The sequence below is a fragment of the Homo sapiens genome, chromosome 17 (assembly GCF_000001405.40).
Source record: "Homo sapiens chromosome 17, GRCh38.p14 Primary Assembly".
Lineage (NCBI taxonomy): Eukaryota > Metazoa > Chordata > Mammalia > Primates > Hominidae > Homo > Homo sapiens.
In genome coordinates this window covers 9,623,453-9,635,742 of record NC_000017.11, presented here as the reverse complement: position 1 = coordinate 9,635,742, position 12,290 = coordinate 9,623,453, and the positions used below count along the sequence as shown (strand labels likewise).

General features: G+C 43.0%; 1 protein-coding gene across 8 annotated transcripts in view; it reads right to left on the bottom strand.

The window, feature by feature from the left end:
• CFAP52 (cilia and flagella associated protein 52) overlaps positions 1 to 12,290 on the bottom strand; it is a 68,913-nt gene that overhangs the window by 9,812 nt on the left and 46,811 nt on the right. For all 8 annotated transcript variants that reach the window (XM_047435437.1, XM_047435439.1, XM_047435438.1 and 5 more), the window contains 3 exons: positions 6,923 to 7,071; positions 2,710 to 2,855; positions 187 to 338 (listed from right to left, as the gene is read on the bottom strand). In XM_047435437.1, the coding sequence (XP_047291393.1) occupies positions 187 to 338; positions 2,710 to 2,855; positions 6,923 to 7,071 (447 nt within the window). The remainder of the gene's footprint in view (positions 1 to 186; positions 339 to 2,709; positions 2,856 to 6,922; positions 7,072 to 12,290) is intronic.

Sequence of the window (12,290 nt, the reverse complement as noted above, 5' to 3'; positions counted from 1 at the left end):
TAACCCTCCCCACTAGCATCGATAAACCATGGACCGTCATGAACGGCTTCTGATGAACATCCCTTTACTGTGTTGCCTTAAATAAGATTTCTACCCTCCATGTGAATCTTCTCTCATGTTCAATAAACTGTTGGCATGATTGGATTTTGCAGGTATCACTGCATCCTCCCCATCACAGGTACCTACACAAGGTCCCAAATGATACAAGTCCCATCGGTGCTGGCGGTGACACACTCCTCGTTGTTCCTCTTCACCCTAATGCAGGACACTGATGACTTGTGTTCCTTCAGGGCCTCCTCCAGCTTCTGGGTCTGACAGCCTATCTGCCATACCCTCACCTGAAAGCCACAGAGCACAGGATCTTGATCCACACTTGGGACTTCTGAAGGGATAGGAAAAGATTCCAAGAGCTTTTTCCCCTTTGCTATGCTTGATTTGTGTTTTTTTAATTCCCTGTCTTTGTCTCGGTTGGGTGGGGTGTGAATGCTAAGTTGAAGGGCAGGCATATTCATGTATAAGATGTGATCATCTTCAACAGAGCTTCAAAAATGCTACTAACAATCCTGTACCTGCTTGTACATACAGGCTGAGAAATTTAATCAGACACCTGCTATGCAAATCGATAATGCAAGGGCCAACGCAAAACCAAGTGAAATAATGTCTATTCACTTTTGCTGATCACTGCTCTCAAATTTCTGGTACTGTCAGGAAAGTTCGTGAGTACCCAGAGCTATATTTAAACTTTCACAATCAGCTGTTCAATTTTGATCATTTAAAAGCAATGGTTCCCAACTCTACTGAATCCAATACCTATTTTATATCACAAATATTTCCAAATACCTGTGTATTATCCTGGAGTGAAATTCATAGGTAATACAACTACCTACACACAAAATTTAAAATCATTAATATGATGCTTTAATAAAAAGGATAGATAAAAGGGAAGTTGTTTAGTTAGTATGGTATTCCTTCATTTTTTGAGATGGAGTCTTGGTCCGTCTCCCAGGCTGGAGTGCAATGGCGCGATCTCGGCTCACTGCGACCTCTGCCTCATGGATTCAAGCAATTCTCCTGTCTCAGCCTCCCAAGTAGCTGGGACTACAGGAGTGCACCACCACACCTGGCTAATTTTTGTATTTTTTTTTCTTTTTTTGAGACAAAATGTCGCTCTGTCACCCAGGCTGGAGTGCAATGCAATGGCGTGGTCTCGGCTCACTGCAACCTCCAACTCACCACGCCTGGCCTAATTTTTGTATTTTTAGTAGAGACAGGGTTTGGCCATGTTGGCCAGGCTGGTCTCAAACTCCTGAGCTCAGGTGATCCACCTGCCTCAGCCTCCCAAAGTGCTGAGATTACAGGCGTGAGCCACCAGGCCCAGCCAGTATTCCTTTAATGGACAAAGGATCTGTCACAACTACACCAGAAAACATAGTAGTCAGATGCTTACGCCTTCTTATAGTGCCTATGTTGGATTTATGAAAAATAAGATGAGCACAAACTATTCTGTTCTTCCTATGACAGGGGATTAAGGAAAGGAAAAGAAAATATCTCAAAGAGAAAGGGAAGGCTTTGGGATAGCAAAGAATCTGGGGCACAGAGGAGGAGAGAACCAGAGAAAAATGTGTGAGCAAAAGGTGTTACAGCCTCCTCAAAATAATGGGAAGAAAAAGTTGAGCATGATCATTTAAAAATAATGGTCAAAACGTCTGGGTGTATTTAATAATTGATGCTAAAACCATCACCTGCTTTAAAAGATAAGATGGGCCAGGCGCGGTGGCTCACGCCTGTAATCCCAGCACTTTGGGAGGCCGAGGCAGGCGGATCACGAGGTCAGGAGATCGAGACCATCCTGGCTAACACGGTGAAACCCCGTCTCTACTAAAAAAATACAAAAAAAAATTAGCTGGGCGTGGTGGCAGGCACCTGTAGTCCCAGCTACTCAGGAGGCTGAGGCAGGCGAATGGCGTGAACCCAGGAGGCGGAGCTTGCAGTGAGCCAAGATTGTGCCACTGCAGTCCAGCCTGGGTGACAGAGGGAGACTCTGTCCGTCTAAAAAAAAAAAAAAAAGATAAGATGACAATTCGTACAACCACGATCCTCGGAGGAAAAGAGCAAGCAAGCCAAAACACTGGCAAAACACCCGCATGAATTCCTTAACTCTAGTCCACATAGAACACTTTCATGTCTGTATTGTAAACGTCCTTTCTGTGTACAAATGTACTTAGATATATATTTATAGGCCAGGCATGGTTGCTCATACCTGTAATCCCAGCACTTTGGGAGGCCAAGGCAGGTGGATCATCTGAGGTCAGGAGTTTGAGACCAGCCTGGCCAACATGGTGAAACCCCATCTCTACTAAAAATAGAAAAATTAGCTGGGCATGACGGTGTGCGCCTGTAATCCCAGCTGCTCAGGAGGCTGAGGCAGGAGAATCGCTTGAACCCAGAAGGCAGAGGTTGTAACGAGCCAAGATTGAGCCACTGCACTCTCCAGACTGGGTGACAGAGTGAGACTCCATTTCAAAATAAGTATACATTTATAATATTAGAACTTTTATTTATGACATATTTTCAGATCTCATCAAAATGTCAATTTGGTCCTGCTTGAATACTAGCAAAGGTGTGTATTTTTAAAAGCAAATAGATGGCTTCCTATAGGGCAGTTGTTCTAAACAGAGCGTTATTTTTTCAAATTTCTGCTTTCAATACCTCCCCTTCCCCACCGCCACTGATGACCCTTTTACAGTCACTGGTGGTGGCGATGGCGGTGACGCCGATCCTGTGAGCATTGTTAATGACATACATCAGTCGGCCTGTCTCTGGGGCGAAGGCTCGGATTTTACCGTCGTTCCATGCTGGCATGAAAGGGAAACAAAAGGCAGGCAGGATCAGTATATGCACCCTCTCTCCACAGTCTGCTGGCCTCACTAAGGAGAGGCAGGCCTGGTGAGTGGTGCTGTGCTGGAGGAAAGAGACCAGCTCAGCTGAATGCTGGTCACCATAGGCCCCTTTCCCTTCTACAGGTTGCCACCACCCATCCAGTTGCCTAAGCCAACAGCCTGAGTCTTCCTTGATTACCCTCAATTCCATCTACCCAACCCAATCCAACATCCAATCCATCAACAATTTCCACCAGCTTTACTGTTAAAAAACATTCAAATCTGAGCACCTCTCAACAGTTCCACTGGTACCTCCTTCATCCAAGGCACCACCATCTTTCTCCTGGATTGTGATAACAGCTTATGCTTGCTTCCACTCTTGCTTACAACCACTTATTTATGCAGGGATCAGTGTGGCCTTTTAAAAATTATGTCATCTTCTTGATCAAGAACTTCCTTTTTTATTTAAAAAAAAAGGCTTATATCTATAATCTCAACACTTTGCACTTTGGGAGGCCAAGGTGGGTGGATTGCTTGAGTCTAGGAGCACAAGACCAGCCTGGAAACATGGCAAGACCCAGTCTCTACAAAAAATATGAAAAAAAAAAACAAAAAAAAACTTGCCTCGCATGGTGGCATGCCCATTTAGTCCTAGCTACTCGGGAGGCTGAAGTAGGAGGATCACTTAAACCTGGGAGATGGAGGTTGCAGTGAGCCAAGAGTCCGCCACTGCACTTCAGCCTGGGCAACAGAGCAAGACCCTGTCTCAAAAAAAGAAAAAAAAAAGTGGAGGCTGGGCGCAGTGGCTCATACCTGTAATCCCAGCGCTTTGGGAGGCCAAGGCAGGCGGATCACTTGAGGACAGGAGGTGGAGACCAGCCTGGTCAACATGGCAAGACCCCACCTCTACTAAAAAAAATTACAAAAATTAGCTGGGCATGGTGGCAGCATGCCTGTAATCCCAGCTACTCAGGAGGCTGAGGCAGGAGAATCGCTTGAACCCGGGAGGCGGAGGTTGCAGTGAACCGAGATCACAGCACTGCACTCCCAGCCTGGGCAACAGAGCACGACTCCATCTCAAAAAAAAAAAAAAACTTTCCAAAACATTTTCCCACTGCACTTAGAATTAAAATCCAATCCAAACTCCTTTATCCTCCACGGTAACTAGTATTTGTGCCCGACCCCCAACCCCCGCCATCTCTTTTAACTTCTTTTACTGGCTGTCCCTGCACCCCTAGCCCAACTACCCACTAAGCCCCAGACACACTGGCCCTCTTGCTATTCCTCAAATCCACCAAGCGATCTCCCTCCTGAGGGCCTTTGCACTTGCTATTCCCTCTGCCTGGAATGTTTTCTCCCCAGGTCTTCAAATGGCTGGCACCCTCTCATAAGCTTTAATGTCACCTCTTGACCTTAGCAGTTTAAAATAGAATGCTAAAGGTAGATCCCATTTCAGCAAAGATTTGAGGAGGTGAGGGGGTGAGGGAGTGAGCCATGGAGGTATCTAGGGAAAGAATATTTCAGGCAGACATAAGAGTCAGAGCAAAGGCTCTATCTATGCCCAGTGTGTTTGAGGAACAGCAAGAAGAAAGTATGGCTAGAAGGGGTGAGTAGTAAGAGGAAGAGCTCCAGGTAAGAAGGTAAAGGAGGACAGAAATTCACATGGAGCCTTGTAGGTGATGGGGGGATCTTTGTCATTTACTCTTAGAGGGTAAAAGACTTTTGAGCCCTAAATATGGCAAATTCTGACTTATGTTCTTTCTTTCTCTTTCTTTCTTTCTCTTTCTTTCTTTCTTTCTTTCTTTCTTTCTCTCTCTCTCTCTCTCTCTCTCTCTTTCTTTCTTTCTTTCTTTCTTTCTTTCTTTCTTTCTTTTTTTTGAGATGGAGTCTGGCTCTGTTACCCAGGCTGGAGTGCAGTGGTGCGATCTTGGCTCACTGCAACCTCCACCTCCCGGGTTCAAGAAACTCTCCTGTCTCAGCCTCCCGGGTAGCTGGGACTACAGGCTCCCGCCACCACGCCCGGCTAATTTTTGTATTTTTAGTAGAGATGGGGTTTCACCATATTGGTCAGGCTGTTCTCAAACTCCTGACCTCAGGCGAAACCCCATCTCTACTCAAAAAATTACAAAAATCGGGCAGGGCGCAGTGGCTCACGCCTGTAATCCCAGCACTTTGGGAGACCGAGGCGGGCGGATCACGAGGTCAGGAGATCCAGACCATCCTGGCTAACACGGTGAAACCCCGTCTCTACTAAACATACAGAAAAATTAGCCGGGCGTGGTAGCGGGCGCCTGTAGTCCCAGCTACTCGGGAGGCTGAGGCAGGAGAATGGCGTGAACCCGGGAGGCGGAGCTTGCAGTGAGCCGAGATCGCGCCACCGCACTCCAGCCTGGGAGACAGAAAAAGACTCCGTCTCTTAAAAAAAAAAAAAAAAAAATTACAAAAATTAGCTGGGCATGGTGGCGCATGCTTGTAATCACAGCTATGTAAATCAGGTCCAGGTGCGGTGGCTCACGCCTCGGCCTCCAAAGTGCTGGGATTACAGGCGTGAGCCACCGCGCCTGGCCCTGACTTACATTTTAAAACAGACCTCTGGCTTCTGGCTTCTGGCTTCTGTGTCGAAAACAGACTGCGGGAAAGTATACTGGGTGAGAAGAGAAGCAAGGAGACGTGGTAGGAAGGTACGAGGGCAATCTAGGGGAGAGATGCTGGTGGCTAGGATAAGGGGGAAGATAATGAGGGGTGAGGGACCTTGGATGTACTTTGAAATGAGCATCAGCAGGGGATGTGGATGTGGGCATAAGAGAAAAAGGGGAGGCAGTGAGGACTCCAAGATTTCTGTCCTGAGCCGTGTTCGCTCTAGATGTAAGGTAAGCCCAGAGCTCCTGGCAGCCCTATGTGGAGAAGACATGCGCAGGGTGGGGTAGGGACGCTAACAAGGAGGAGAAGACAGGGCCAAGAAAAGAGGAGTGAGGACCGGGTGCAGTGGCTCACTCCTGTAATCCCATCACTTTGGGAGGCCGAGGCGGGTGGATTGCCTGAGGTCGGGAGTTCAAGACCAGCTTGGCCAACATGGTGAAAACCCGTTTTTACTAAAAATACAAAAAATTAGCCCATCGTGATGACACACGCCTGTAGTCCCAGATACTTGGGAGGCTGAGGCAGGAGCGTGCCTGTAATCCCAGCTACTCTGGAGGCTGAGACAGGAGAATTGCTTGAACACGGGAGGCAGAGGTTGCAGTGAGCCTAGATCGCGCCATTGCACTCCAGCTTGGGCAACAAGAGTGAAACTCCATCTGAGAAAAAAAAAAAAAAAGCAAGCAAGCAAGGAAGAAAAAAGAAAGAAGAAAGAAAGAAAGAAAAGAAAAGAAAGAAAGAAAGAAAGAAAGGGAAAGAAAGAAAAGAGGGGCGAGATGGTTTCCTGGTGTCACCATTTTAATAGCTGTCCCTAAAGATCCACTGAACTTTTCATTGATGTGAAGCAGTATGTGTACTTTCTGAGCACTGGGGAGACTTACAGATAGATTTAGCATAAGACAATACTGAGAAATTACTGTTTTAAAGGAAAACATTTTTAGAGATACATGCTGAAGTCTTTAGAGGTGGAATATCACGCTGCCTATAATTTATGCTAAATGGCATAAAATAATAAATTGAGTTAAAAATAAATTCCCTTTGAGACATCACTTCGTTTGAGTCAGGGTTTTATCTCTTACACAACAAAAAGGGTCCTCACATGGGGGACCTGTCCTTTTCAAACTCCTTTTCAAAATTGAACTTCTAAATTTTCCTACTAGAGAGAAAGATTCACGCTATATGCAGCAATGTGGGAGAGGAGAAATTGCTATTTGGTCCTTCCTAGCTCAGAAAGTCTCCCAGCTGGAAGGAAACTCCAAAGAGAGGCTAGATTAGAAGCAAGAAGGGGGTGGACAGTGGGAGGCTGTTCTAGGTTATCCACATGTAGAGACTAGTATGGGAGGAGAGTGACAAGAATCAAAACCGCAGCTAGAGCCCCAAGCCAGATCTTGACATGTGGACGTTACCTGAAATGATGCTTTTGCCGTCCCTCATGAAGTCGATGCCGTGGCAGGTCATGTTGGGCACGGTGATCCGCAGCAGCTCCCTGTTGGATGATGTGTGCCACACCCTGATATCCTTCTTGGCACAGGTTGCAAATAGCTCAGCAGTGCCACTGCAAGGAAGCCATCAAGAGATGCAACCATAAAAGATGCAGTTTCCCAGATGCATATTTGACACCAAAATGTGTTTCACAAAAATATAGGAAAAGGCTGGGCGCGGTGGCTCAAACCTGTAATCCCAGCACTTTGGGAGGCCAGGGGGGTGGATCACGAGGTCAGGAGTTTGAGACCAGCCTGACCAACATGGTGAAACCCCGTTTCTACTAAAAATACAAAAATTAGCCGGGTATGGTGGTGCATGCCTGTAATCCCAGCTACTCAGGAGGCTGAGGCAGGAGAATCGCTTGAACCTGGAAGGCAAAGGTTGCAATGAGCCAAGATGGGGCCACTGCACTCCAGCCTGGGTGACAGAGCTAGGCTCCATCTCAAAAAAAAAAAAAAAGAATATAGGGAAGGATGCCTTTTATTATCTGAAGCCTTGATGATTGTCTTACAGACCATTTGAAACATCTTGTGTAAACGGTATTTAATGCCCTCTAATCATCTGTGGACCATCTTTTGTAGTCCTTTCTCTTTAGGAAGGGTTGGGACAAAGTTGCTCAAAAAGAATAAGCCAATTTAAAATTCTCACAAAGTCTTGGTAGACTGGAGGATAGTAACATTTGTCTTTTCTATAAAACTACTTTATTGAGGCCTGATATGGTGGCTGACACCTGTAATCCCAGCACTTTGGGAGGCCAAGAAAGGAGGATCCCATGACTTGAGGCCAGGAGTTCAAGACCAGCCTGGGCAACATAGTGAGACCCTGCCTCCCCAAAAAATAAAAATATATAAAAATTAGCTGGGTGTAGTGATGCATGCCTGTGGTCCTGGCTTCTTAGGAGGCTGAGGAAGGAAGATCTCTTGAGCCTAGGGGTTGGAGACTGCATTGAGCTATGATCGTGCCACTGCACTCCAGCCTGGATGACAGAGTGAGACAAGAGAATTTGCCTCTAAAAATAAAATGAAATAAAATAAAAACCACTTTATTGAGGTATGATTGACAAACAAAAAGCTGAACATATTTAATGTATATTACCTGAGTTTGAAGATAAGTCGACACCTATAACATTTCTTGAGATAAATACAGCCTTGGATTGCTTGTATTAAGAGAGAATAAACAAACCCTTTCCTGTGAAGTAGACAATATTTATTTATTTATTCATTTATTTATTTATTTTTGAGATGGAGTCTCACTCTGTTGCCTGGGCTGGAGTGCAATGGTCCGATCTTGGCTTACTCCACCTCCTGTGTTCAAGCCATTCTCCTGCCTCAGCCTCCCGAGTAGCTGGGATTACAGGCATGTGCCACCATGTCTGGCTAATTTTTTGTATTTTTAGTAGAGACGGGGTTTCACCATGTTGGCCAGGCTAGTCTCAAACTCCTGACCTCAGGTGATCCACCCACATCGGCCTCCCAAAGTGCTGGGATTACAGGTGTGAGCCACTGTGCCCAGCCAAGCAGACAATCTTATTAAAATTTTCAAAAAGGAAAAGACAATGGTGCCAGAATTCAAGTTTGCAGATAACCCAAAACCCTTCTTTTGTCTGTCAAGCTCAAAAAAAAAAAAAAAGGCAACCTCTAAATACAATGTAAATTACCAATGTGTCAAAAGATTACAGATTATTCCAATTCAAATAATAAGAAGAAGTAATATTGGGGTACAATAAAGACCATTTGGTTCATAAGTATAAATTTCTAGCTTGTCTCTGTGGAGATTAAAGCTAATTTTTAGATTTCAGTACATCTCAAGCAATGTCTACATTTTTTCATGAACACATTTCAAAAAAGAGTCCTTTTCTCTTAAGACCTACTCACTTTAGAATTAAAACAAAAAATAAGTGGATCCCTTCCACACATTTAATGCTTGGGGCTTAGTGTTACAGTTATAATGATGGACTACTTAGTTAGAAAGAGTAAGTGCTGGAATGAGACAACAGATGTGATGGGGCTTCTTGCCAGACAGTCTTGATTAATGTAAATCAAGTCAACACTAGAATGTTAATATTTATTTAAAATTAGAGATATTTATATTAGATAATGCCTTTGGTGAATGAGCTCCTCCTCTGAGGGAAGTAAGCTCTTAAAGAGGTGTACTCATGGACCACTCATGAAAATCAAATATCATGAAATCAATGCCCCCGAAGAACTTTCCAGGTCAGGAGCAGTGGCTCATGCCTGTAATCCCAGTGCTTTGGGAGGCCAAGGTGAGTGGATCACCTGAGGTCAGGAGTTTGAGACCAGCCTGGCCAACATGGCAAAACGCTGTATCTACTAAAAATACAAAAATTAGTTGGGTGTGGTGGTGTGCGCCTGTAGTCCCAGCTACTTGGGAGGCTGAGGAAGGAGAATCACTTGAACCCAGGAGGCGGAGGTTGCAGTGAGCTGAGATCATGCCATTACACTCCAGCCTGGGCAACAAGAACAAAACTCCATCTCAAAAAAGAAGAACTTTCTTCCAAACTCTCTACACTTGATGGCCTATCCACTTCCTTGGCAGTCAAGCCTAGTTCAAAACTGAACCATTCAAGTGGTAGATTGTTCTTAGTTTAGGGTCTGAGAGGTTAAGTTCCAGAAAGAACCCAATTGATTGGATCATGATGAGGTACCAAGCCCATGTGCTCCCTCTCTCCCACCTAAAATCCCATGAAATGAAGATATTTATAGATATAGATGTAGCTATAGATGTACATAATTTTGCCCTTAACAATACAGGAAAGCAGGAAAGAGTATCATCACATAGGTCAGAAACATTATGGATAAATAGAAATCAGCCAGATAAGAGCTGTAGAGAAAAACTGGGCTCAAAAGTATAAGCAGAGAGTACATCTTGTAAGGCTGGAGCACTGAACTGGTTCACACACATTTTCTCACAAATAACAATTAGAAAAACTGGATGAATTAACAACAATAACAAAATCTTAATGACACCAAAAACCTCTAAAAGTAGATAGAAATCAGGAAGAGTTTGCTCTTCTAAGAGTGCAACTGGAAAGGGTTGAGAATTGTTAGCATGTGGCTTTCTCACATGTGGGAGCCTCCAACTCCCACAGCTATGGTGGCTGTAGAAAAAGGTGGCAGAAAAACCATAGCGTTACCAGCTAACAATGCTAGAGATCAGAGTTGAGGGCTAGAAAATCAGCTGGAATTTAAAGGGGGAATATCCTAGTGGCAAGAGAACCACAAGAATAAGATGTAAATTCTGGTTATAAACACTGCACAAATCTCTGTTGGGTAGCTAAATTATACATGTATCCCTAGCTAACAATGCTAGAGATCAGAGTTGAGGGCTAGAAAATCAGCTGGAATTTAAAGGGGGAATATCCTAGTGGCAAGAGAACCACAAGAATAAGATGTAAATTCTGGTTATAAACACTGCCCAAGTCTCTGCTGGGTAGCTAAATTATATATGTATGGGGGGAATACCAAGAGGAAGAACAAGCAGGCAGAGACCAGGGAGGATTCTACTGTGTTTTTTTTTTAATTGATTTTTTTTAAGGATTCTACTGCTAAAGACAGCTACATGGGGTCAATCTGAGAGGTTTTTTGTTTGTTGCTTTTTTGTTTGCTTGCCTTTTTAAGTAAATACATTCCCCAACTGAGCTCAGCTTGGATGGCAGGAAGCTGAACCTCACAGGCTTCAAGTGTCAGAGCTTGAGGTTAACAGAATATTTGGAAAATAGGGAGAAGTCACTAAAAGAAAGGAAATCATGGAAAGGATGAGCTTCATCTCTGCATAAACCCTTGGTTGACTGCTACATAATGCAAGCACACAGAAGAACCCAAGGCCAGGCTAAAAAAGCAGCAGTGGGAAGTCATGAGAATAACAGATGATGCATACTATGGGGAGGCAAAATTTGCAGTTTGAGTCCATGCCAACAATCCTCAGAGAACAGAGTTGCTATAGTATATTCTATATAATACTGAGTTTTCAACAACAAAAAATTATCAAACATGCAAAGAAATAGGAAAATATGACTCAAAAAAAAGGCAGAGTCAGAAGCAACTGATTCCAAGTAGACCCAGGTACTGGATTAGCAGACAAAAACTTTAAAGCAGCTATTTTAAAATACATTCAAAATATTAAAGGAAACTATCACATCAATAAGTGAACAGATAGGTAATCTGAACAGAGAACTAGAAACTATATATGTAATATTATAATTATATACCTTATAGCAATTATATATTCTTCTATAGGTAAGAAGTACAATAACTAAAATAAATTTACTAGGTGGACTCAATGACAGATTGGAGATGGTGAAAAATCTGTAAACTGGAAGGTAGATTTAATAGAGATTACATAATTTTAAAAAGATTTTAAAAATTGAAGAAAAATGAACAGCCTAAAGATCTGTAGGAAAATCTCAAATTACTAAACACAGATAATTCAAATCTCAGGGGAACAGAAGTGAGCAAAGGTGAAAATTCTTAAGGAACAAGGGCTGAAAAACTTCTCAATTTGGTGGAAAATATCAGCTTATAGATTCAAAAAGTTTAACAAATGCTAAGAAAGGATAAACACAAAGAGAAAGACAAATCACAGTCAAACTGATGAAAGACAAAAGCAAAGAAAAAATATTGAAATATAAACAGAAAAATGACATATTATAAAGAAGAAAATCATAAGAATACAGAATGACTTCTCATTAGAAAGTCTGGAATGATGTATTCAAACTAATGAATAAATAGAAAATAATCGGGCAAGAATTCTGTAACCAGTGAAACTTTCTTCAAAAATAAAGGCTAAAAAAATGTTTCCAGATAAATAAAAACTGAGATAATTATTCAGTAGAGGCTTATACTTTTAAAAAGATGTTAAATGAACCAGGCAAAATGGCATGCACCTCTAGTCCCAGCTACTCAGGAGGCTGAGGCAGGAGGAACACTTGAGACCAGGTGTTTAGGCTGCAGTGTGCTATGATCATGCGGGTGAATGGACACTTGACTCCATCCTGGGCAACAGAGTGAAACCCTGTCTCTTAAACAAACAAACAAACAAACAAACAAACAAAAAAAGCTAAGCAAAGTTCTTTAGAGAGGGGAAAGGTAACAGATGACAACTTAGATATATAAGAAAGAATGAAGACCATCAGAAATAGTCAAATATATAAGTAAGCACACAAGACATTTTAAATTTTTTCTTCTCTTAATTTCTTGAAAATGTTTATGACTCTTTAAAGCAAAAATTATAATATTGCATTGATGGAGTTTGATGGAGTTTGTATAAAGA